At 49.4% G+C, this 26,137-nt stretch overlaps 1 protein-coding gene across 19 annotated transcripts in view, besides 6 other annotated features; it reads right to left on the bottom strand.

Moving 5' to 3' along the window:
- Nucleotides 1-26,137, bottom strand: part of TBC1D22A (TBC1 domain family member 22A) — a 413,050-nt gene that overhangs the window by 364,443 nt on the left and 22,470 nt on the right. For 15 of the 19 annotated variants that reach the window (XR_007067971.1, XR_007067970.1, NR_104292.1 and 12 more), the window contains 3 exon segments: nucleotides 18,681-18,737; nucleotides 17,416-17,756; nucleotides 13,637-13,813 (listed from right to left, as the gene is read on the bottom strand). Coding sequence is in view for 16 of the 19 variants with exons in the window: in XM_017028742.3 (XP_016884231.1) it covers nucleotides 13,637-13,813; nucleotides 17,416-17,756; nucleotides 18,681-18,737 (575 nt within the window). In the remaining 3 variants the exon portion in view is untranslated. 19 annotated transcript variants of the gene reach the window in all.
- Nucleotides 7,730-7,779: an enhancer, noted in NCBI's record as "active region_19264". NCBI's record gives its function as "activates an Ori minimal core promoter by ATAC-STARR-seq in GM12878 lymphoblastoid cells {active_cell/tissue: GM12878}" and the evidence as "EXISTENCE:reporter gene assay evidence [ECO:0000049][PMID:35858748]".
- Nucleotides 7,800-7,969: an enhancer, noted in NCBI's record as "active region_19263". NCBI's record gives its function as "activates an Ori minimal core promoter by ATAC-STARR-seq in GM12878 lymphoblastoid cells {active_cell/tissue: GM12878}" and the evidence as "EXISTENCE:reporter gene assay evidence [ECO:0000049][PMID:35858748]".
- Nucleotides 7,990-8,039: an enhancer, noted in NCBI's record as "active region_19262". NCBI's record gives its function as "activates an Ori minimal core promoter by ATAC-STARR-seq in GM12878 lymphoblastoid cells {active_cell/tissue: GM12878}" and the evidence as "EXISTENCE:reporter gene assay evidence [ECO:0000049][PMID:35858748]".
- Nucleotides 12,440-12,940: an enhancer, noted in NCBI's record as "H3K4me1 hESC enhancer chr22:47194214-47194714 (GRCh37/hg19 assembly coordinates)". NCBI's record gives its function as "activates a minimal SCP1, AML or CMV promoter by ChIP-STARR-seq in naive H9 embryonic stem cells {active_cell/tissue: H9 hESC(naive)}" and the evidence as "EXISTENCE:reporter gene assay evidence [ECO:0000049][PMID:30033119]".
- Nucleotides 19,657-19,766: an enhancer, noted in NCBI's record as "active region_19261". NCBI's record gives its function as "activates an Ori minimal core promoter by ATAC-STARR-seq in GM12878 lymphoblastoid cells {active_cell/tissue: GM12878}" and the evidence as "EXISTENCE:reporter gene assay evidence [ECO:0000049][PMID:35858748]".
- Nucleotides 22,776-22,875: an enhancer, noted in NCBI's record as "active region_19260". NCBI's record gives its function as "activates an Ori minimal core promoter by ATAC-STARR-seq in GM12878 lymphoblastoid cells {active_cell/tissue: GM12878}" and the evidence as "EXISTENCE:reporter gene assay evidence [ECO:0000049][PMID:35858748]".

Genomic DNA, 26,137 nt, shown 5'->3' with positions numbered 1-26,137 from the left:
CCCTGACAGCTCCTTACCACTCCATGCAATGGGTCTTCCTGACCAGGCCACGGACAGGCACCAAAGCCTGTCCACATGGCCCAGTCACCATCCACTGCCTGAATCTGGCCGAAACAAGCTCATCAAATATCCGATGCCCACTGTCCCCTGCCCACAGGAATCTGAGGCCAGTCTGCTGCCCTGCACCCAGGGTACTTGGTAATTAGGCTGTCCTGGATGACAGCCGCATGATGGACTCTGACACACAGCCTGGCCTATGCCAGCCATGCTCCCCAAAGTAAGCCCAGCCTCTTCAATCATCCTGCATGTAAGGGTACAGACTCTCAGCAGCCCAGCTGCCCCCAGAGAACTCACATGAGGACAAAAGGACGGATTTGGTGTCTCCTATCTCCCAGGAGGAATCTGAGTTCCTTAATGGAAGAGTGTATCACCATGGGGCGTCTAGAAGGGTCGAAAGCAGAGCTACCTCTTCATTTGATTCTAAGAATAAGAACTCGCCAATTATGTAATTATTGTTTTAAAAAAAACTCCTCCCAAAGCTTAAATATCTGCCTATTCTTTTGCATGAGGAATACCTGAGGTAGGGGTTGTGCAGCAGTGTGAATGTACCAAAAGCCGCTGAACTGTCCACCACAAAACAGTTTATTGTCTGTTATTTGAATTGCACCTCAAGTTTTTAAAACAGAATTTTTACTTAAAAATTTGATGATTTTATGCCATTTTGACCCTCATAATAAAATAAAAGATGATTATACCTATATACTAAATCTTACCTGTTCTCATGCTCTCCATAAATATATACTTTTTTTTTTTTGAGTGAGAAAAGGGGCACGTAACACTATTACGTTTTCATTTGTATTTTTAAAAGAATGGGGTGGAGTAAGAAATATATTAACACACGTCTATATAAATCTACTCGAATATGTGTGGAACACTTCTGAAAGGAGACAGAAATAGAAGGGTCGGGAGCGAAGGAGATTTATTTGTCAGGCTGCAAGCCCTGAGGAACCACTGTAAATGTTTTAACTTCGTATAATGCAGCTTTTCCAATTAGAAACGCTGGTAAATAGAGTAGAAATCAATGTTACCAGTTCCTAAACTGCAAGTGGTGAGCCCCAGAGCATTCCTCCCTCCTCCAGAACACCCAGGAACATCACTTCTGTATGCGTGAGCTGATGTGACACATTTTGAATACTCTCAAACAAGTCTACATTTTGATCAAGCATATAAATGAAATTTTGACTTAGATATGCAATTTTAATAAGAATTTTAAGTAAAGATCATTTTCAAAACATTATACAGCCATTAAAAATGATGGTTATGAAGATTATAGCAGCATGGGAGAGGAGGATGATGTAATATTAACCTGAATAAAAGGACAACAAATGCCATCTATATAGTTTCATGGCCTCAGTGGAAAATCTGGGTGGGGAGGACACACAGGAAAACGACGGTAAGAACACAGCAGCCGGGCAGGGCTCCCTGCTAACCACTCCGCAGATGGCCTCATCACGCCTCCCAAACACTATGGAGGCCTCTGACATTACCCCATTCTACAGATGAAGACACTGCCCAGGTCACTGTGTTAGTAAATGTCGAAGCCCGGACAGGACCTGACATGCGCCACCCCAAAGCCCATGGTCCTGTTTCCCATACTGCCCTGACCCCCGAGATGCTAAGGGTCAGGGTGGCAGGGGATGTGGTTATTCTTACTTCTAGAACCTAAAACAAATCCATGGGTTTACCTTGGGTTAAAAGATGAGTTGAAAAAGATATGCTAACTATTCGAGACTGAACTGTATCCTCAAATTCGTATGTTGAAGGCCTCTCCCAGAGCGTGACTGTGTCTAGAGACAGGGACTATAACGAGGTAACTGAAGTTGAATTAAGTCATGAGGGTGGGGCCCTGAGCCACAGGATAAGTGTCCTTATGGGGAGAGACCCAGAGAGCTCCTGTGCACGCTCGCTCTCCACCTCCCTCTCTCTCTCTGGATCTCTCTCCCCACACATGCACAGAAGAAATGCCATGTGACAACTCAGCAAAAATGTGGCATCTGCAAGCCGGGAGGAGAGCCCTTCCCGGAAACTGGATCAGCCAGCACCCCGGTCCTGGACTTCCAGCCTCTGGAACTGGGAGAAATCAATGTCTACTGCATAAACCACCCAGTCTGTGGTATTTTCTTATGGCAGCCCAGGCAAATTAATACACTAACCTATTCTTTAGATTCTCTTACCCTAAGATAATCTACATTAGGATTTTAAGCAAACTTGAACTTCTTCTCTTTAGGACCAATTTGAACATAGTCTGGGATTTCAAGAGAAAGCCTCCAATAGTTTATATGAATACCTCAAAAGCTGGCGAAGGCCGGGCACGGTGGCTCACGCCTGTAATCCCAGCACTTTGGAAGGCCGAGGAGGGTGGATCACGAGGTCAGGAGATTGAGACCATCCTGGCTAACACGGTGAAACCCCGTCTCTACTAACAATACAAAAAATTAGCCAGGCATGGTGGCAGGTGCCTGTAGTCCCAGCTACTCGGGAGGCTGAGGCAAGAGAATGGCGTGAACTCAGGAGGCGGAGCTTGCAGTAAGCCAACATCGCGCCACTGCACTCTGGCCTGGGCAACCGAACAAGACTGTCTCCCAAAAAAAAAAAGCTGGCTAAACACCAAAGTCAAAGCCTTACCTGACTACATTTCACCACACACAATAACATCAGGATAAAGGTGATATCCTTCACCTCTCTATGCAAAACCAAGGATTTGCTTTATTCTTGGCAACTGATTTAAGGTGTAACTTCCTGTATTGTATCCAGTTGTGATGGTAACTGGATTATTTTTTTATTTTTCACCTCCCATCCCTACTGCATTTCTTTATTTTTTTATTTTTTTTTATTTTTTTAAGCAGAATCTCACTCTGTTACCCAGGCTGGAGTGCAATGGCACAATCTCGGCTCACTGCAACCTCTGCCTCCCGGGTTCAAGCAATTCTCCTGCCTCAGCTTCCTAAGTAGCTGGGATTACAGGCGTGTGCCATCACGCCCGGCTAATTTTTGTATTTTTAGTAAAGACGGGGTTTTGCCATGTTGGCCAGGCTGGTCTCGAACTCCTGACCTCAGGTGATCCACCCGCCTCGGCCTCCCAAAGTGCTGGGATTACAGGCATAAGCCACCGTGCCCAGCCCCTTACTGCATTTCTGTTCATTAGAAATTTCTTCCCATTTTCTTATTTTAATCATCTATGATTTAATCCTGTACCAAGTTTCTTTTTTATTTTTTTGCTTTTTCTTTTAGAGACACGGTGTTGCTCTGTCACCCAGGCCGGAGTGCAGTGGCATGATCATAGCTCACTGTAGCCTCCAACTCCTGGGCTCGAGCAATCCTCCCACCTAGGCCTCCCAACTGCTGGGATTACAAGTATGAGCTACTTCACCTGGCCCTGTATAAAATTTCTAAAACCGAACTCTTCATGTCCTATTAAAGTAAGCAAAGCAGTGTGCAATGCAAAGAAGCCTGGATTAAATCAAGTGATTGTTGCTACTGGCTGGCATCTGACCTTAGGTCCTCCTCCATTTCTAAGCCTCAGTTTCTTGATCTGCAAAATGGGAATCACAGGAATCCTGCCGCCCTACTCATCATATGGAGTAAATGCCAAACAAATGAGCTAGCCTGTGGGGAAGGCTGGATAAACACTGGTCACTGCCGCTGCAGAGGTACAGTGCCAAGTAGTGCCAGCGTGTCGTCAAGCAAATGGCTTTGTCACACAGACGCATGCATGTGCTTCTTCCTTCTAACATCAAACCCACTGTGCCTCCCAAACAGCTCCAAGCAAAGCAGCACTGGGGCCTCAGAGCAGACAGGACAGAAGTCCTCAGCACGGGCTGACAGGGTCCACAACACCGACAAGCAGGAGAGTTGGTATCACTATCATTCCCACCACCATCATCACAGTTATCATCGCCATCACTACTATCATCACCACCATCATCACCATCACCATCACAATCAACACTAATCCCTGAAGCCCTGAATTCTAAAGAAGGAGAACAATCCTGCTGCTGTTGATCCTCCATCGTTCCACGCTGGTGGTGAATTCTAATTGCTCACCACTGTCTTCCAACTTTCCTTCTTAAAGAAATCCTCTTCCCTGTAACTTCGCCTGTAAAGTGTCTACAGGATGCACCTGTAGAATCTGCGGTTGAGCAGGAAGAATCTGCGGTCACAGAACCTGCCAATCCTCTTATAAAATATCCCATAATACTAGAGTATCCAGGCCATGCCTGGGGAGGAGCAAAGCCCTATTGGCTCTGCACACATTTGCTCGGCCAGCCCTGTGAAGAGGTTGAACTTCCCCTCCTCATATCAGCAAACCCAATTCCATAATTGTAGCTACTCAGGTCTGACTGGCCGAAGATCAGCACTATTCTACCCACTCCAGACCCTGGGTGGGACCCACCAGCCACAGGCACTCACCTCCGCCCTCTCAGGCTCCCATCACTCTGTCCTCAGGCTTGGGTGACAACTCACCATCATACCCAGAGCCCCTAGAAAGTCAAAGGTACATTATCACATTTTTCTAAGTTAACACATTTTATATCCTTTTTTAGCTTGATTTTCTTTTCAGCTCAGTCTTACATGTCAGTTCTAATGGTCTGTGGCCATACTTTTTTTAAATAATATTTTCTAAATAATTTTTAAATATTTTTAATATTTAATTTAATTTAAAATTTAATTTAAATTTAAAAATTTTTAATAATTTTTAAATATTTTTTAAATAATAGACTCCAAGGAATTTAAACCATCTTAAAACAAAAACATTATTTTCTCGGCAGCTTTCAGTACTATGCACTTGAGTAATGGGATGGTTTGTGGCCCTTTGAGTCTCAGCTCCATTTCCGGGCAAAAAAAAAAAAAAAAATCAGAACAGAGGAGGGTTCATTCTAAATGCCATGTCACTGACTATGAGAATTCAAAGTTCATTTACTGAGTCCCTCTACACCCAGCACTCTGTAGACAGTTCAATGCAATCAAACATCTGGGTCTCTATACTACGTTTTCCACACAGCGCTCGGCACTGAGCCATGGGGTAAATGTGATAAGAGGGTTGGAGGCCGGGCGCGGTGGCTCACACCTGTAATCCCAGCACTTTGGGAGGCCAAAGCGGGTGGATCACGAGGTCAGGAGTTCGAGACCAGCCTGACCAACATGGTGAAACCCCGTCTCTACTAAAAATACAAAACTTAGCCGGGTGTGGTGGTGGGTGCCTGTAATCCCAGCTACTCAGGAGGTTGAGGCAGGAGAATCACTTGAACCTGGGAGGCGGAGGCTGCAGTGGGCCGAGATGAAGCCACTGCACTCCAGTCTGGGCGAAAGAGCAAGACTCCATCTCAAAATAAAGAAAAAAAAGAAGAAGAAGAAGAAGAAGGACAGAAAGACATTAAGGAACCAGAAATCGGGTGGGGGGTGTGGGGGGGCGGTGAGAGACACACACATCAATCTCTGTGAATGGCAAACACAGTTGGCTGCCAAACCAATATCCAACCCATCCCACCTCTCTGTTTCCAGAATCCCGGTTTGAAAGTGCCCATGTCCAGCCCACAGGAGACACATCCTTGGCAGCTCCCCCTACCACCAGGAGTGGCCATGTGGCCTGGCTCTGAAGGCAGCCCTACTCTCCCAGTAAGAAGACGCCTGCCCTGGTGACTGCTCCTTCCATCACCCCATGATGGTGACAGCCCCTTTAGAGCTGTGAGGAAGAGGTCAAGTGACTTGGAGCTTAGATCCTGAGGACATCACTGAGCCAGTGAACCAGTGCCAACAGCTACCTGCCTCCAGGCATCTTGCTGAGAAACTTAACTTTTGAATTTGTTCAAAAGTCCTTGCGTCTGCTTTTCTGTTACCTACAGCAAAAACACATCTTCACGGAAGGCCCCAGATACAAGGCACCCTGTGTCAACTGGAAAACCAGTGATGCCCCACTCACCGCTGAAGAACACAGGGTAGGAGAGAAGGAGACTGACCGCTGGTGGCTCAATTAACTCTGCCAGCATTTCCTGAGAATGTGCCATGCATGTGCCAGTCACTGGAACAGGAGGATGAGTGACTCCAGCCACGGCCCAAGAGAGGATCACAGTCTAATGGGCAGATGGACACAAACTCATACTCTCTTAGAGGAAACCATAATAGGAGCTAAGTTACAAGTAGAAAATGTTGTACAGGGCGAGGAGCAATGAGTCCCTGGGGATCCTGCCATACTCGCCCTACTTTCCTTCTCCTATCCCTCACATAGAGAAAATACCACAGTCGCACAATTGCTCAAGTCTGTATCCAATATCCTCATCTACAAAAGAAATTATAAGAAAAAAAAGACAAACATGCAACAGATAAGTTTTTAAGGCGGCTCCTTTAAAACCATACCAAAGACTTACAAACTCTCTTTTAGCATTTGCTTTTAATATTACAGACTAAAAATCACCATTCAACAGAAACAAATCACCTGAAGGAACAGTGAAAGGTTTCCTATTAAACTGAAGATTTACATTACTATGGATAGTAAATAAAATTCCTAATTTTCACCAAATCATATCTAATTTGGTTATTTTAAGCCAAGTGACATCACATGTAGTTCAAATACCACATCGAGCAGGGAACACATCACCCAGAAAAAAGGATGCCGGCAATGCTGTGAAAGTGGGGAGCCAGCGTGTTCACTGAGGCTCTCGCATGCCCTGCCTGAAGCCCAGATCACTCTGCAGATAAAACAGCCGCTGAGAGAGAGCCATTTCTGCTAGTGAGCTCTGAAAAACTGGTAAGAACTGATTAAGAGGGAATAAATTAGAGAGAAAAAGCAAGCACAACTCTAGTTAATACAGCATGTGGAAACAGTGGCAATTTTGGTTTGTTGGTTTTATTATCTTTTCCATTTCTCTAACTTTCAATAACATTTCCGTTAATGATGATCACAGAAACCCTTTAGTGACAAAATGAGCAGAGAAAAGAAATAGGCACAGCTCCTGTCCTAAGTGGGAACACACGGGCAAAAAGGGGCCAAGGCCGGGGGCAAGCTTTGAGGGAAAGCAGAGTAACGGTGATGTGGGGGAAGCCACGGGGGGAAAACGCAAACCCAGAGTCACACGGTTGGGAAAGCCCGTCCTTGGCTCAAGGAGGTGCCATCGCATTGCTGCTGAGCTGCCATTGGATGGTAGTGTCAGTTACTTACCTAGTAAATTTATCTAAGAAACAAAGTAAAACCAGAGACACAGGACCATGTATGCACCAAAAGAAGGCAAGAAAGGTCTAGCTGAAGAGTCAGCGAACCATCAAATGACAAGTACCTACTATGTGACACTCACTGCAGGGGACTTGAGGACAGAGCAGGGCCAGCAAGGATCTGGGTGTGGCTGGGCCAGTGCATGCACAGAAGGACTGTGCAAGCTGGAGTTTGTTCCCTCTGCCCCGGGCCTCTGCATTCAGCAGTTCTAGGTGGCCAGGGGGCTGCCTTCCTTGACAAAGCCCTTCCCTGATGAGACGCCAGGGCAAGGCCGAGTTAGCCAGAGCTTTCATCTTCGTCCCTCACGTTATTCTCTTCTGAGGCTGTGCCTGCCTTTCAGTAAGCACGGTGAACACACACAGACACGCGCAAGTGTAAGCACCCCCCACCCACAAGGCCAACGTGCCCTGCTGTGGTCATGAAGCCCAGGCTGCAAAGACAGCACCTGGCCACTAGAGGGCGACGCTGAACGCTGACGGCCGGGTCGCAAGAACCAACCGCCCTCCCCGCCTCAGCTCCTGGGGGCCGGGCCCCAGCTCCCACAGCAGAAGCGAGATCTCCAACAAGGCCCACAGGAGAGAAAACCGCCGCCCTTCCTCAGGCCTCCAACAGCACCAAGAATGCCCACTGTCTACACTAACCAGAAACGTGTGACCTGGAGGCTGGGAGCCCAGCCCGGGGTGACCCCGGTTCCCAGCCAGCTCTGCCCTCACTGTGGGGCTGGAGGGCAGCCGCCTGTTTAACCTTGTCTCGAGCTCTTCAGCTGTAAACCAGCGATAAGGCCAGCAATCTGGGGCACGCAGGAAGGGGGTGGGGGTGCAGAGGGGGGTCTTTTGGTGGCTGATAACACAGTCTCTACAGCACAGTGCCCAGCACAGAGTGAAGGCCCCCAGTGGCTGTAACCATGGGAGCATTTAAACACACTGCTTTCCCTGGCTCTCTGTTTCATGAGGAGGAGATTTTGTCTCCCCAGTGAAATGCCATCTCTGGAGTGTGTTCTGATTTCTGTGTCTATCGGCTGTTCCCCATCCCTGCAGACCCCAGGCTCTAAGCTATGGGGGTCCTGGCTCTTGCCTTCTCGCCAGTCTACCCAGCTCCAGATTTCATCAGCCCCCGACTCACGCAGCCCACCCCACCCACATCCCCAGCCCACGGCCTCCACTCTTGCCCCCTAGTCTCCCACCCTACTCTGACCCTCCTCCAGCCCCTCCCATGAGCTGCCCAAGGACTCCACGTCGTCCATGGCCACTGGCAACACTCTGCTCAGAAGCAGTCATCGGCTCTTCCTTCCACAGAATAGCAACCGCTTTCTGATGCTCTGCACCGCGCTTTACTCCCCCGGTTCAAAACCTCCCAGAGGCTTCATGCTGTGCTCGAAGTAAAAGCAGAGCTCCTTCTCCTGGACTTCTCAGCCCTGGGGACCTGGTCCCTGCCTGCCTTGCAGGCCTCTCCCCACACCCCACTCAGCCACCAGGCCAGAGCCTCAGAAACCCCTCAAGCACATGAAGCTCTATTGCCCGCAGGACCTTTGCACCTCTGGGCCTGTCCCTAGAATGCTCATGCCCCCTCTTCAAATACCTGACTCCGTGCAGATCTCGCCCCAGAAACAGCCAACTGCAGAGCAGCTCCAGCCTCTACCCTCCACATGCCTTGACTCTCCCTATATGCTTCCTGCCTTCTGATGGTTGCGGGGGTACTGAGCGAGCTCCCTCTGTCTCCTCACACGAGAATGTCAGCTCCTTGAGGGCAGGGCCCTCGCAAGCCTCGCCGCCGATTCCTCCCCAGTGCCTACAACCACAGCAGGTGCTCAACAGAGCCTGGATGAGTGACTCTACATAAATTCCCACTGACCTTCACGAGGACCCTGCAGGGCAGGTCTCATGCTCCCTCTACAGCTGACGAAACAGGTAGGTTGAGCCACTTCATGAGTAAGGACACGGCCAGCCATCACACTGAGGGCCTACTCCAAGGCCGCACCTGCTTCCTCCTGTCACCAAGGGCCCAGGCCCCTTCACGGCTGCCCTAGAGCCACGGACACCAAGGGGGCATCTACTCGTATTAGTGCTGCCAAGGTGTACGGCTCCAAACTTCTGTTCATGCCCTCCCAACCCCCAAAACACCCTCTCCCGCTGACCTCCATCTATCAGCACGCTCTCATAAAGCCTAGACTGGATGGTCACCCCTCAGGGGAAGTGGAACACAGCCGTGGCCTGGCCCCACTCCTTGACGGACGGGTCGTCGTGCCTTCTGTCCTACCGTTCGAAAGCCTTGAGGGCCAGAGCTGAGCTCCACACACAGTTTGCCCTCCGAGGCCCCACTGCTGCGAGGCAGGCCCTAGACGGTCCTCAGGAAACTGCGTGTTCTACATGTTACCAAATCGCACTACCATTCACCAGATACATGTGACCAACTTGAGTGTCATTTTCCGGGGCTTCAAAGCAGGCAGTCTTTGTGTGAGTAAATATTGAGCCAATGCTAAGAGTAAAATGAGCTATTAAGTTCTATTTGCTACTTTCATCCCCAGGCTCATAACAGAGCGTAAGCTAAACAAAGAAAAACAGCACTCCGCTGGACAGAATGATATTCAGCAGGTAGACTCATTTCTGTAGGCACTTCTCACATCAGTGATTTGCTTCTCCAACATTGGCAAATATTTGCCACTTACGTCTTTCATGTAATGTGAAGAAAGTACATTCCACTGTCTTCCAAAGCTATCTTAACTGCCTTATAAAAACAGGCAATTTACTGGCGATGTTTTCTCTTGCTACTAAATACAAATGCAGTCATCGTTTAACTTTGAAAGCTCTGCATTTAGCTTTTTGGTTTTAGATTTGATATTTACATAGAATTATAAAGAAAGAAAAAAACCCACAGTCCCCTCAACCTAACAAAATACTTGATTTTTACGTGCTAAAATCTAGCCCTACATACTCCCATCTTCCTACAAGTCTTGAAAGCTTTACTTTTAAGTGTGATTTTAATTTCCAAAAGTTGGTTCAATTACAAAGTCCTCCAGAATGCTCCAGGTGGGTACTCAGAGCCTGACCCAGCACAGGGTTCCCATCAGGCAAATCTTGCTTTCACCAGCTGTCTCTCCTCCACCTGCCTACTGCTGGAAACCACAGGACACAACCAGGAAAACATCTGTAAGTCCTTGACTCGTCAATGACCACAAAAGTGACCATATACGTCAATAGCACAAAAATCAAGTGAGAAGATAAAAAGGCCAGTTCAAATGAACGTAACAACAACCATAAAAATAACTAACATTTTTGAGTGTTTAGTATGTGCTAGGCACTCTGTTAAGCATGTCATATGTACTATCTCATTTAAACTGCAAAATGAGCACCGCTTTCATCATGTCTATCACGCAAACAAGAACTCTGAGAGCAGGATCATCACCAAGCTGGCTCAAGGTCACGTGGCGAGTAACCAGTGGAGCCAGCTCTCCACACAGGCAGCCCGGCTCCAGGACCCACTCTCCCAGGTGCAACGTGGTTCTGAATCTCCACACCACCCTGGAGGCAGGAGAGCCAGCAGAGAAGGGGCACTGGCATGCTAGAAGAGGAAGTGGCCAAGATGGGTACGTCAACTACAAGACTAGACTCCCGTAAGCACGATCTACCTTTATCTCCTGTCTTGGTGGGTGACACCTCCACACCTGGTGCTCTAGGCGAACTCACAGACCCATCCCCCACACTGCCTTCTCGCCTCACCCATGGCTAGGGATGCTCTGTGTCACCATCACAGAAGGAGGTTCAGGCGCCTGAAGAAACGTTCTCAAGTTGTTTGTAATAATAGCAAGTTAGGAATAACCCGCTGCCCAACCGCAGGGGCTGGTGCAGTCAAGTCGGGGGAAATCCATAGGATGGCATGTTACAGGGCACTCTAAAGACTAAGGCGGTTCTCCACGTACGCCATGGGAAAATGTATCATTCCCTTAAAAAGTGAGGTGCACAACTGCCTTGCCGTGCAAGGGGACAAAGAAATACACTGTAGAAATGCACAGACCCCAGAGCATCTCTCTACAGAGCACTTCATCACCAAAGGAAAAAGGGGAGCTCTTCAGTGGAAAGAGCTGGCAGACGCCACCTCAACCAAGTGATCGGAGTCCACATCTTCAACGTGAGGACCCACCAGCACCACGTGCCCCCGCTGTGATGACCAAGGAGAACACGAATCCCTTCAGTGATGTTCCTGCCAAAAATTATCAATCAGAATCTCATTGTGGGCAAACATCAGACAAGCACAAACCAAGGGACATCCCACAAAATCACTGGCCCGTGCTCTGCTAAAGTGTCAAGATGGAAATGCAGAGACCGGCAAAGCTGCTGCGCCAGGTTAGTGGAGAAGACAGAGGCGTGACATCCAAATGGAACGCATGGTCCCCACTGGAGTCTGGACTAAGAAAAAAGAGGGAAAGGACATTACTGGGACAACTGGCAGAATGTGACTATGGACTGTGGATGAAAATAATACAAGTGTTAAAATAGTACTGTGTCAACGTTAAATTTCCTGATTGTGACCCCTGTGCTGTGATGATACTGAGGGAATGTCTTTGTGCTTAGGAAATATGCAGCGAAGGTTTCAGAGGTAAAGGGATATATCTCCAACTGACTCTCAAATGGTTCAGGAAAAAAATGTATATATACACACAAAAACAGGCACACACATGCAGAATGGTAATGGGCAAACGTAAACAATTGGTGATTCTGGGTACAGAGCATATGGGAGTTGTTGGCACTATTCATGCCAACTGTTCTGCAAGTTTGAATTGCATCAACACGAAACGTTTAAAACAACAGATGCATGGGCCATCGCTGGAAGGAGACACCTCGAGCTGTGGAAAGGAAGGGAAGGTGGGGGCTGGGACAGGCCTCATTTTCACATACACCCTGCTGTGCTGTGTCATGTTATAACACATGCAAGTGTTGCTGTTTCAAAAAAAAACAAACATAAGGAAGAAACAACCACCCACTCTGAGAACTCTACTCAGAGCTGTGTCCTTCTAGCCAGGAGACCTTCCAAGAGCCCTCCCCCGCCTCGAGAACACAGCTTCAGCCATGCCCTTTGAACCGCTGCTTCTGCCCGGAAACCCTCTCCCTGCCCTGGGCTTGAGCGTGAAGGCCCGGCTGCTGCAAGCTCCTATATGGCCCCTGCATGGCTCCTGCGTGGCTCCTGGCGGCCCATCCGCGTGCGCCACTCGCCACCTCCTGGCCAAGCCAGGCGTTGCACCTCTGGCTCTTAGAGTGCCACAGTGACACCAGTCATAACTGTGTGATACAGGTTTGTCCCCTCAATGAAGCAATCTCATGACCAAGGCCACATTCCGGTCCTCCCGAGAGCTCCAGCGTCTAGCAAACACCTAGCCAGAGTGGCACTCCACAAAGATGAGATAGGGAAAGGAAGGACGTGGATTCAGCAGGAATTCCACCAGAGGAACTGAAAGCAAGTGCGTTCCACAGAGCCTGGCCACGGCAGTCCACATGGGCACTGCGTGTGCCTGGAAGCAACTCGCGCAGGAAGAGTCACACTGGTGACTGTGCTCTGCCCTGTGGGCCTGCCCCTCTGCCCCAGCCTCACCCCTGCCCCCTTGCAGGGCTCACAGCCTGTCACCCTCTGATGACTGCAAGCCCCATGGTAGGAAAGTACAAAACCAGCAGATTGAGTTGATGGTCACCAGCGCTGTGCCCCCATGAGCCACTGTCTTCAGAATACTGTCAAGAACAAGGATGTCCACCTGGCCAGCCTCGAAGGGCTCACCAAGGGCAGCAATAATAAAGAGTGCAAATGGGACAACAGGAAAACAGAATGGGCCAGGCGTGGTGGATCACGCCTTAAGCCCAGTGCTTTGTGAGGCTGAGGCAGGAGGATCTCTTAAGCCTAGGAGTTCAAGACCAGCCTGGGCAACACAGGCAGACCCGTATCTGTAGAAAAAATTGTTTAAAAAATCTGGTGAGCATGGTGGCACAATCCTGTAGTCCCACATACTCAGGAAGCTGAGGCAGGAGGATTGCTTGAGCCCAGGAATTCCAGGTTGCAGTGAGCTATGATCACACCACTGCACTCCAGCCAGGCAACAGAGTAAGACCTTGTCTCAAATTTTAAAAAAAGAAAACAAAAAGGAACGCAAAATACATTTTCAAATTGCATGGGAAAAACATTAACAAAACTTGTCTAAAGCACAAATTGCTACTACCTTAGTGACTGACTTGAAAATATTACATGAAAACATCACCTTCCTGCAAGGCAAATTACACACGGACGCGTGTGCATTACATAAGCATACATAGAATCCTTTAAGATGTGATCTATTTCAGAAACAGCAAGAAATGTCTGTGTGTGTCCTCCAGAGGGCAGGGTGCTTACCAAGGTCCGTGTTGGGGCCGGCAAGCAGCTGCTTGAACTTGTCGAGCCGGGAGGCCTCTCTTTCGCTCAGCGCTGAGCTGCTGAGAGTGCTGGGGTCAGATGTGCCACCCAGCGTGACGGTGGCCGAGTGTGGGAGAGACTGGGACCTCTGCAGAGGGGCGGCATCGCTGGCACTTTCTGCAGGGGTGAGAGAATGGGGGTGAGGGTGAGGGCGCTCCTCCCGACTACACGTTCCTCCTTGCTGTGCCACTGTCCCTTTGTGAATGCTGATGGGTCCCTTCTTCCCATCACTCAGCAGTGGGGACCTTGGTTTCTTGAGCAATAACATGGAACTGACACCTTTGAAATTCACTCGCTTCACTGGCAGAGTATTATTCACCAACAAAATGGACCACCTTGCATAAAAGCAACACAATGACAGCCAGAAAACTCCAGGGCCCCTCGGGCTGTGTGGAGGTCAGGCTCCCACCAGTGCCTGGGGTGGCAGATCAGGGCCTGCCCAGGTGACATGACCCAGAGGGTCTGTGTAGGACGGTGCCCTCGGGTCAGCCAGGCCTGAGTGCGGAGGGCAAGCCCGTGAGTTACCATGAGGGAAAGGAGAAAGCCTGCAGAGGTGCTGAGGACAGAAGGCAACAGTGGGGACACAGCAGGAACCAGGGCGCTGCGAGGGCTCTCACCTGCCATCTCAAGAGCGTGCCCAACCCCGCCACCTGCCTGGCCCTCCTGGGTCTCACCAGTGCCCTGGGAGGAAGGTCCCACAGGGACCCTCATCCCAAGGAAACAAAGGAAGCCAGACAGGTGAGGGATGGCACCTTCCCAGACCCCACCACAGGCAGTGACCGCAGTGGCACTAGAGTACAAGCTGCCCGCCCTCCCTCCCGCCCTCTGCTGCTGCCCACCATGGCCCCACTGACCCCCAAGACGGACAGGCCCAGGGGGATCCAAGCAGGTGGTGAGACAGCACGTTCCACCCAGCAACCCGGGACCGGGTCAGCCCAAGGGAAGACCCTAAGGCCCTCAGATCACTCAACACTGCCATCCGAGACCAACAAGCAAGAGGCTGGGAAAGGCTCCAAACTCCTGGGTCTAAATCCTGTCTAGCTATCTCATTTTTCAAAAACTGAAAATTAAAGTAGAGTGAAAAATAAACTCCAGGAAATGGAGCCGAAGCAAACGCTGCAGCTGACGGGCCGACATCCACTCCAGCAGCCGCTGAGCAAGGAGGTAGGAGCCGCACTCCCCCGCGCCCTCCTTCCCACAGAGCACCCCCATTTCCCTTATAACCTGGGAGTGGGGGAAAATAATTCACACAGAAACCCTCAGGCTATCCAGGAGCCAGGCAACCTATGGCCTCTGGGCAGAATGTGGCCCAGTTAAATTTCCAGAAAAGTCTGCTAAAGTGGGGACATAGACTTCAGAGTACCGCCCTGTCTCCTCCCCCATCCCCGCTGCCCACTCTCCCTGACTCCCCCCAACCCCCAGGAGGATCTCCTCCCACCAGCCTCAGTGCCCTTGCAGTGATTCCTATTTTGTAGCAGCCGCACACCAAGCAGTGGGCTGGGGCTCCAGCCCGGGGCGTCTGGCTCCAGAGTTTCCGCTGCCGGCCTTACTGCAGACAGGGCTGAGAACCAGCACCTGAGCAGAGGGGAGGACCATGGGTGACAGTGCCCCCTCTCCCTCCTTCAGAGGCTCCTGCTTCAGCAGCACTTACAGTTCCTCAGAGTGAATATTCAGCAGGAAGAGCAGCTGTGCACTGAGTCCCAGAATTAAAGGTGCTCAGCTGGACTTCCCTGTGATCTTCAGAAATGACTGATGTGGTTTCATCAGGACACGTAAGGGGCCGCTCACTCCTGAGCAGAGCCCATAAGTCCATGTCCTAGTGCTGCTGCAAAGCTTAATGAGTTTAGTATCACAGGGACTTGATACTGTACCTGCCACACAGTAAATGATCAATATATGGTATCATTGTCACTATACTGAAGTACTCAAAAAAAGCTTGCCCAGAAAGCAAACACAGGAAAGGTGGCCAACTCCAAGGCAGGCAAGTGGGAGCACAAGGCAATGAGGTCATGGGCCCCCTTCTCCCAGCGCAAGCTGCCTGCAGCATCCTTTGCTTGGCTCTTCCAGGATGAGGCCATCCCAGGGTGACATCCCAGGGTGACATCTCATAGCTCCCCGACCCCAGCTGGTCACAGCCTGAGCCTGCCTCTTGTCAGATCCCCCAGCCACACACCGTGTGGTCCTGCGGTCCTGGCCACTCTCAGCCTGACAGTGCCCTGCATCTTGGGGGTAGGGGGCACGGTGCTGAGAGGCTCACAGAGCTTCAATGTCAGCACCACCCATGAGCAGATGAAGCCAGGGATCCTGCCAACTCCGACTGCCACAGGCTGAAGGGCGCTGCCCAGGACTGGGCCTGCAGAAGGCGGTCAGTGCATGCTTCAGTCAGTCACCAGGTTTCCAAGCCTCCCGCAAAGGCCATCACCAGATTTCCAGTTACGAGTTCAAAGACTTTAAAATTTATTACACTCCAAAAAGAAAACTGATCAAATGAAATCACGCACAGCATTCTCAACTAATGAGAGCTGTAACATTTTAGAAGTTAACCAATTCCTAGAAAGTGGTTTTAAAAACTAGACCTAGGTATGAAACCTAGTTCTCCAGGGTAAAATCAGGCCACCCTAACAATCTCCATCTTCTCAGCTGGAAATGTGGGGAGAGCACCCTAGCCCCCAGAAGACCTTGGAGGGAGGTACCTATGAGGGCCAGTGGCCAATCCAGCTGGACTTCGCCCCTGCCCCTCACCCCCTGCCTCCCAACAGCACCACTGACACGAAGACACCCTGACCTCCCCGTTTCAGATGACACCTGCTCCCCACTGCTCTCAGGGCCACCGCGTTCCCACCCCATTCTCTGCCTCTCTTGACCGTGGCACCTGCTGCCTCCCAGCACGCTCTGTGCCCCCTTGCTGACTGTGGGCAGTGCTGCATCTGTCCCTCTCACCAGAATGGACTTGCCGCAGGGCACAGATGTACCTCAGTCTGTCCAGTGGGGTCTCCCAAGCTCTGAAAACAGTACCCGCGGCCCACAGTGGGTTCATCGCACAACCATGCAGCTTTTCCATCACAGACGTGATGGCCTGCAACACATAAAGAGCAGCAGCCACAGAAACAGCCTCAAGAACAGCTGCTGCACACCAGTGCCATGCACATGGCACCAGACACGACCCCACCCGAGGGGGTCAGAGTGCAAACGTGGCCGACCCAAAAGTCAGACTCCCAGCCCCTACAGACCTGAGCCCACGTGTACGCACACCTGGCAGGAATCCTGTAAGCTGCCTAGAGGGCCAGCCCCTAAACATGCAGAGGCCTGACCCCTCGGCTGGCAATGTCACCCATGGAACCATCACAAGCTGGTGGAGTTAGGAGGGAGACAGTGTCCCCAGGCGCTTGCTCCCCCGTGGCCCTCTCACGGCCAGCCCACAACAGCCTGGTGCCTCCACTCCACTCGGAGAAGACATGCACGTAGCTAGGCCAGAAGCCTCCACTCCACTAGGAGGAGACACGCACGTAGCTAGGACAGAAGAAAGCACTTGGGGGCCCTAGGAAAGAGCGCAGGCCACTCCCCTACCCTTGGAAGAGAACCATAAGGGCTCTCGTGGGCCAGGGGGCCTGCTGCAAATGAGGATGGGAACCCACTGATTCTCCCACAGTGAGTGTGTTCTGGCCACTTTCTTAGCTTGGCCAGAAACCCAGACCATCTCTTCAGTCCTCCCATCGTACCTGCAGGACAGGACGTGTGGCTCTCACTGACCGACTTCACCAGCCGGAGGTCGCCGCTGGGGGGTGAGGGCGGCTCTGCCTCGGGCCTGGGCTTCTGCTGAAGCCCTGGCCCCTCCTGCAGCGTGGGCCGCCCCTGCCGCTGGCTGTGGTTACGCAGCACACGGTTGGCCGTCTCCATGACCACCTCGGAGTTCAGGCTCTCCGCCGCCATGGCCAGGAGCTCATCGTCGTCCTCCCCAGCGTCCCAGGCATCGCTGGTATTGCTCTCAAACTCCTGGAAGGTGCTGACCCTCTTGGCCTTCACTGGTGTGGTCGGCATCTTGGCCGTGGACCTGAGCAAACTGCAATGCAAAGGCAGTCTTTACTCGTACATGCTCGAAGGCTTCACCCAAAACCAGCCAGGAAAGAATTCCCAGGTGAAAAGACAGGCATAGAAGTGTTCAGCTTTGATCTAGCAATAGTGAGTGAAAAAGCAAACACAATTCACAGAGACAGCCAAAAGAAGAGCAGGCGAAGCCCATGAGGACTCAGTGGCAGGAGGGGGAGGGGGCTCCAGGAAGGTCACCTGGGAGGAGGCGCAGGGCCACATGGTGATACCCTGCAGGACCACCCCAGCTCACTCTGGCCAGTGCCTGGGGCACCTTCCCCGAATCCCAGTAAGGCTCCTGCCCAGCAGTGAGGGGTGTGGGCCAGGAGCGCCTGTGCAGGGTGCAGGCCTGTGGTATATGGATTTGAAGACATGATCATTTAAACAAGATTCCCCCAAAATAGGACAACACACAACATCGGCCCCACCTCACGTGAGAAACTTGTCAGACAGGTGCAGTCCTGCAGGGTCACAACAGCCCAGCACAAGCCCCACACTCTGCGCTCCCGCCTGCTGTGGAGGGGCCAGGACAGGCCAGGGCCGGGCTCCAGCAGCTGGTGGAGAATGCGGGAAGGAGGAGGGGAAAGGACAAGCCAGCATGGATGGCCTGCAGCCAGGCTGCCCATGGCTAAAGGATGCCAGCTCCTGGCTCTCCCCAGGGCTCCCCCACCTCCCCACATCAGGCTGTGGCTCCCACATCCGCCGTCTTCACCGGGATGCGCAGCACGGGGTGCACAGTATCTCACACAAAGCGACTGCTTGATCAGTGTGGCTGAATGAGAAACCAGTCTCCTCCCTGAGGAATGCCTGGGAGCAGGAAGGAAGCAGGAAGACCGGGGTTGCCACAGCCCTCCCATATCAGAGCCGAGACGCCAAGTGAGGTTGGAACGTCACTTACGTGCCATGTAACAGTGGATCAAAGGGGGGGTGCTGGGCACCATACACGTGCTGGATGCTGATGGAAAAGAAAAGGAAAACCAGTGAGCCTCTCTCCTGCCTTCCCAAGAGCCCTCCACCAGCTCAGCCGAAAGGTGGGCTCCCAGGAACCCACAGGACTGAAGGAAGCAGCTCCTCATGGGCTGTCGCAGGCCCCCCTGCAGCCACCCGGGGTCCTGAGGGCCCAGTTCAGAAGGGATGAGTGGCACCATACAAGCCCACACCCCACACCCCACACAAGCAGGGCATTCAGCCCATCCCTGAGAATGGACCTCAGCCCGACAAGCACCACCACAGACCCTCGGGCATCTACACGGTGATGAGGGTGTCTGGGAGTGCAATGAAGGAACTGAGGCCTCTGCCCACAGACTAAAAACTCGAAGAAACGCCCACCTGGGAATTCTCACCTGCCATCATTTTGTCTGAAATTGAATGCAGAATTGCAAAAGATAAATATAATTTTTTAAAAGATTGAACAGGCTTGGCACGGTAGCTCACGCCTGTAATCCCAGCACTTTGGGAGGCCAAGGCGGGCGGATCACCTGAAGTCAGGAGTTGGAGACCAGCCTGGCAAACATGGTGAAACCCTGTCTCTACTAAAAATACAAAAATTAGCTGGGCATGGTGGTACATGCCTGTAATCCTAGCTACCGGGAAGGCTGAGGCAGAAGAATGGCTTGAACCCTGGAGGCGGAGGTTGCAGTCAGCCGAGATCGTGCCACTGCACTGCAGCCTGGGTGACAGAGCAAGACTCCATCTCAAAAAGAAAAAGACTTAACAGTTTTACTATAAAAGTCTTACATGCATCAGAGTAAATTTGGAAAACTGATGGAAATGAAATACCCCACGTGGCAGACACTGTTGGTTGACTCATCAACCTCTACCCAGAAGCCTTTGCTCCTTTGGCTGACGTCAGCCACGGCTGGCCCTGTGACACACATTTATTTTTCATAGCCGGCAAGAAATAAATGCTGGTTTTTACTTTTCTGGAAAAAAAAAAAAAAAAACAGGCTTAGCTAGCACCCCTTTGGCCCCCAGCTTCTTTCCCTTTTTTCCACCTGGAACACAGAGGTGAGGCCTCAGCCATCGTGCGTGAGTGAAGATGCCACCATGAAGGGCAGCAGGGCAGACAGGCAGGAAACAGCATGGGGCTGTGACAGCTTTGAGCTGCTGCCCAACCCTGCGCTGCTCACCACAGACTACCAGACACAGGAAATAAACGAATCTCTGTTTGTTGAAGGCAATACTGGCAATGTTGGGAGGCCGAGGTGGGCGGATCGCTTGAGCTCAGGAGTTTAGGACCAGCCTGGGCAACATGGCGAAACCACGTCTGCACAAAAAAATACAAAAAAATTGGCTGGGCGTGGTGACATAAGCCTGTGGTCCCAGCTACTTGGGAGGCTGAGGTTGCAGTGAGCCAAGATTGCACCACTGAACTCCAACCTGGGTTACACAGTGAGACCCTGTCTCAAAAAAATAAAATAAGTGATTACAAAAAAATGGCCGGATGATCGCTTGAGCCTGGGAGGTGGAGGTTGCAGTGAGCCAAGAATGCACCACTGCACTCCAATCTGGGTTACAGAGTAAGACCCTGTCTCTAAAAAATAAAATAATATAGTGATTACAAAAAAAGTAATAAAGATATTTGGAGACAAATATTTGCACACAACTATGATAACCTCTTGGGGATAAACTCCTAGAAATGGAAAGCTTGGGACATAAAGCACACATTAAAAAGGCCACTGGTCCACACTGCTGAAGAGCCGTGGTTCATATCCCACCAGCAGTGTCAACACCACACACCACTGCTCATTCAACAAGAGAACAGTGGTCTCCGTGTCGGCTATGTGCCTCTTCATTCATTAGTAAGGTAAAACTTTTTTTTTTTATTTTGTTCATTTGTACCTCTTCTTTTTGTAAATTGTCTGCTCATACCCTTTGTCCATTTTCTAATGAGGTGCTCACCACTTTCTCACTGCTTTGTAAAAAAAAACCTTGTAAACAGAGGATTCCTTCTTAGTCGTTCTGGTGGTGTGGTCAGCAGAATAACGGCCCCCACCCAAGACGTCCACATCCTAATGCCCAGAACCTGTGACTACGTCACCTTACATGGCAAAGGGGACTTTGCAGATGCAATTAAGAATACGAATGAGGTGGGAGACCATCCTGGGCAATCCGGATGGGCACAATCTAATCATGAGTACTCAAAAGCAGAGAACCTTCCTGGCTGTGGTCAGAGCAGAAGAGACCGCGGAAGGTCACACAAATGCAACATGGCTGACTCTGTACGTGGAGAAAGGGGGCTGTATGCCAAGGAACGTGGGCGGCTTCCTGGAGCTGGAGAGAGCAGGGAAAACGCTCTCCCCTGGAGCTTCCAGAAGGAACCAGCCCCGCCAACACCTTGGTGTTAGCCCAGCGAGACCCACATCAGACTTGCAAATTCTAGAACTCTAGGATACCATGTTTGCTGTAAGCCAGTAAGTTTGTGATGATTTGCTAGAGCAGTCACAGAAAGACAATGGCGGTGGCCAATCTGTTTTCCTTGGTCTGGGAGGCTGAGCCACTCTTGTGTCCTTTCCTCGTGACTCCACTTTGGGGACGACACTTGGAAAGGCCTGACCCTTCTGAGAGTGCATAAACATTGCCGTGTGCTAGTTCAATCCTTCTAGAGGGCTCGTTCCTACCCTTAAGTTTTCAATCCACCTAGAATTTATTTTATTTTGCTATATAGTGTTTAGTAGGAAACTTTAAAAAAAAATAAAGAAGGGTTCAAATGTCATTTATTCAGTAACCTCTCCTTTCACCCACTGCTTTGAGAACATCATCTTTAACGTTAAAATATTACATTGGGTCATTTTTCAGTTTCCCACTCAGTTTCTATTCAGTATCCCATTCCTATGCCTGCAGCACAACATATTAATTATACCAAATGTTCACTTTTATATTCTAAGATTTTTCAGCAAAACTTGACAAACATTTTTTTGATACTGACTCTCGGACAGGGCACTGGGGAGGCAAAGGTAAGCACAACACATCCAAACTATTCCGGCCCTTACAGTTTACTCACAAAAGCAAAACTTCAACTGGCATTTTGACTGTTCTATGATGATTCCTACAAGAGCATGTCACAGGAGCACAGAAACCCAGTCTTATCGGGAGGCCGAGGCGGGCGGATCACGAGGTCAGGAGATCGAGACCATCCTGGATAACACAGTGAAACCCCGTCTCTATGAAAAATACAAAAAATTAGCCGGGCTTGGTGGCACGTGCCTGTAATCCCAGCTACTTGGGAAGCTGAGGCAGGAGAATGGCGTGAACCCAGGAGGCAGAGCTTGTAGTGAGCCGAGATTGCGCCACTGCACTCCAGCCTAGGCGACAGCGAGACTCTGTCTCAAAAAAAAAAAAAAAAGAAAAGAAGGAAGATTCCTTAAGAAAAAAAATCACACTTAGAACTAGGAAAAGTGGCTGGCAGAAGGTTGAGACAAACAAAACAGCACGTACCTGATCTGAAGGCCAGGAGCAGTGGAATCAGTGGGACATCAAAGTGGCAGCCAAGGGCCTGTCACCACAGCAAGCAGAAACATGAGCCCACACCCGGCCTTCCTTCAAAGGCCCAGGAGCCCAGTCCCACCCCTCACTCCACAGAGGAAGATTGGAAACCCAGAGAAGAGAAAGGAATTCAAAAGAGTCTGGCCCCTTGAAGGGTTTGTTATGACTTCTCCTTCCCAAAAAAAAGCCAATAAGGAGAAATATATGATTTCAGAAGAAAATTCTAAAGTCAGCATCCAGATGAAAACATCACATTTATTTCTGCATACATCAGAGTGAGTTTCAGTTTCAAACTGAAGATGACCTGAAAGCAAAGCGCTGATCCCTCCTCTCAACCAGGAAGGACCTACGAGGCAGGCACTGTCCTGGGTGCTGAGGACACAGACGCCCTGTGGCATGAACCACAGGCGGGTCCCAGTGGGGCTGGTGCTGGATACTTTTACCAAAGGAATGAAACACACAGAAAAGTGAAGGAACAGCCCTGTGACCACCATGCCACGTGCCACTGCTCAGCTCCAACCACTTTCAACAGCCTCCAGATTTGCTCAACATGCCGTTTCTTTTTTACTATCAATACTGCAAGCAATAAAGCATAGAGAATAATAGTAGTAGCTAACAGAGATGAGCATTATTTTAAACTCTCAATGTGTTAAGTCCTTTAATCTTTGCAACCCAATAAGGCAGATATCATTACTCTTCCCATTCAAAAGGTGGAAAAACTGAGGGACAGAAAGCTTAAGAAAGTAGCCTGCCTGGCCGGGCGTGGTGGCTCACGCCTGTAATCCCAGCACTTTGGGAGGCCGAGGCGGGTGGATCACGAGGTCTGGAGATCGAGACCGTCCTGGCTAACACAGTGAAACCCCGTCTCTACTAAAAATACAAAAAATTACCCGGTCGTGGTGGCGGACGCCTATAGTCCCAGCTACTTAGGAGGCTGAGGCAAGAGAATGGTGTGAACCCGGGAGGCAGAGCTTGCAGTGAGCCGAGATCACGCCCCTGCACTCCAACCTGGGTGACAGAGTAAGACTCCGTCCCAAAAAAAAAAAAAAAAAAAAAAGTAGCCTGCCCAAAGTCACCTACCCCTGGCAGGCTGCAGCCAGCTTAGTGACATATAGGACATAAGGAATAACCACACAGACACCACCCAGAGATTCACTTCCCCCAAATTCCAACATTTTGTCATATAATAGAGTTGAAACCCTCCCCATTCTGGTTCTCTACCTGCCTCCTCTGAGGTGGCTACCAACCTGTATTTGACATTTTCCATTTCCATGTAAGAGTTTATACTATTATGGAAGAGACGTGGATCTCTGGGCAACATACAGTATTATTCTGCACATTTGCAAAGTTTACACTGTTATCATTTCATACATATGTACCTTTGCAACTAGATGTTCCCTCAAGATTGTTCTTTATGTATCAATGTTAATGCACGCAGCTCCAGTTTTGTTCTGTGGGGTTTCACTGTATGAAAGCCAGTACTTTAGCAGTAAACCAACTTTTCAAAAGAAATGTTACATGGAAATGCCAAACAGGTAAAGGCAGAGCTACTCTGGTGAAGGGGAGACGCAGGAGCCGCCACATGCACTGGCCGGGCCACTCGACAGAAAGAGAGGAGAGGCAACTCCCAGAACCATAGCAGGACTCCACGGAGACACAGAAAGCTGCTGGTCTGGTTGTTTCCTTAAATATAAGGAAAATGAACAAAACCAAGAGATGGTTCTCTGAGTAGATGAATAAAATTGACAAACCTTTGGCTAGACTGACTAAAAGAAAAAAGAGAAGACTTAAATTACTAAAGTCAGACATGATGGAAAAGACATTATTATCAACCTTACAGAAATAAAAAGAATTATGAGAATATTATGAACAACTGTACACCAACAAATAAAATTAATTAGATACAATGCGCAAATTCCCAGAAAGATACACACAACTGAAACTTACTCAAGGAGCAGGAGGAAATATGACTAGATACATAACATGGAAAGAGGCTGAATTAGAGGCCGGGCACACTGGCTCACGTTTGTAATCAAGCACTTTGGGAAGCCAAGGTGGGAGGATCACTTGAACCCCAGGAGTTCAAGACCAGCCTGGCCAACAAAGCAAGACCTCATCTATTAAAAACCAAAAAACTAGTGGGCATGGTGGCACACACCTGTAGTCCCAGCTACTCAGAAGGCTGACGTGGGAGGATCACTTGAGCCCAGGAATTTGAGGTTACAGTGACCTATGACGGCACTACTGCGCTTAAGTGTGGGCAACAGAGCAAGATCCTGTCTCAAAAAAATAAAAAATAAAAATAAAGAGACTAAATTAGTAATCAAAACACTACGCACAAAGAAAAGTCCAAGCCCAGAGGGATTCACTGGTAAATTCTACCAAATAGATAAAGAAGAATTAATACCAATTCTTCATAAATCCTTCCAAAACCTAGAAAAGGAGGTAATATTTCCCAACTCATTCTATGAGGCAAGTACTACCGTGATACCAAAATCAAGCAAAGATATCACAAAGAAAGAAAACTACAAACCAGTATCTCTTATGAATATACACGTAAAAACCCAAAATACTAGCAAACCAAATCCAACAACACATAAAAAGGGATTACGCATCATAATCAAGTGGAATTTATCCAAGAAATGCAAGGTTGGTTTAATAACCAAAAATCAATTAGTGCAATACACTATATTAATAGCATAAAGGACAAAAACCACATGATCATCTAAATAGATGCAGAAAAAGCATATGATAAAATTCAATACTCATTCATTATAAAAATTATCAACAAACTAGGAATTAAAGGTAATCTTCATCCTGATAAAGGATATCTACAAAAAACTCATAGTTAACATCACACTTAATGGTGAAAGGCTGAATATTTTGCCCCTAAGCTCAGGAAAAAGACAAGGATGAGAGGTGGCTCATGCCTGTAATCCAGCACTTTGGGAGGCCAAGGTGGGGAGAATAACTTGAGCCCAGGAGTTAAAGACCAGTCTGGGCAACAAAGTGAGACCTTGATCTCTACAAAAAATCAAAAAATTAACCAGGCATGATGATGCATGTCTGTGGTCCCAGCTACATGGCAGGCTGAAGCAGGAGAATCACTTGAGCCCAGGAGGTTGAGATCAAGGCTGCAGTGAGCCATGTTGGCAAAACTGCACTCTCTAGCCTGGGCAACAGAGCAGGACCTTGTCTCAAAACAAAAGTAGTGATACAAGCTACAACGTAGATCAATCTTGAAAATATTATGCTCAGTGAAAGAAGATAATTACCAAAGAAATGCACATTATATTATTCCATTTATTTGAAATCCCTAGAATAGACAATTCTATATACAGAGAACGTAGATTAGTGGTTACTTGGGGACTAGAACAGGGAGGAAGGCAGGGGTGATAGTTAAAGGACACACGAGGTTTTCTAGAGGCAATAAACATGCTCTAAAATTGATTGTGGTGATAGTTACACAACACTTTGAAGACACTAAAAAAACCACTGCATTATATACTTTAAATGGGTGAAGGCTATTGTGGGTGAATTGTGTTCTATCTGTATCTCAGGGAAGATGTTATAATGTTTTAAAGTCAATACAGCTTTTACCTGGTCCTCTTGGGTTCCCGCTCTTGGAACCCAGCTACCCATTCTCTGAAGATGCCAAAATTAGCCACAAGGATCTCCCATATGTACACATTACAACCCACAGCACTAGCTGAAGGCCCAGTGGACAGCCTGCATCACTGCTAGACAAGTCAGTGAATCAGCCCTCTTATAATTCCAGCCCCAGCCCTCGAGTCTTCCTAGTGAGGCCCCAGACATCATGGAGAAGAGACAAGACATCCCACTGTGCCCCATGTGAATTTCTGACCCACA

The sequence above is a fragment of the Homo sapiens genome, chromosome 22, assembly GCF_000001405.40.
Source record: "Homo sapiens chromosome 22, GRCh38.p14 Primary Assembly".
NCBI lineage: Eukaryota > Metazoa > Chordata > Mammalia > Primates > Hominidae > Homo > Homo sapiens.
This window is presented reverse-complemented; position numbering and strand designations above follow the sequence as displayed.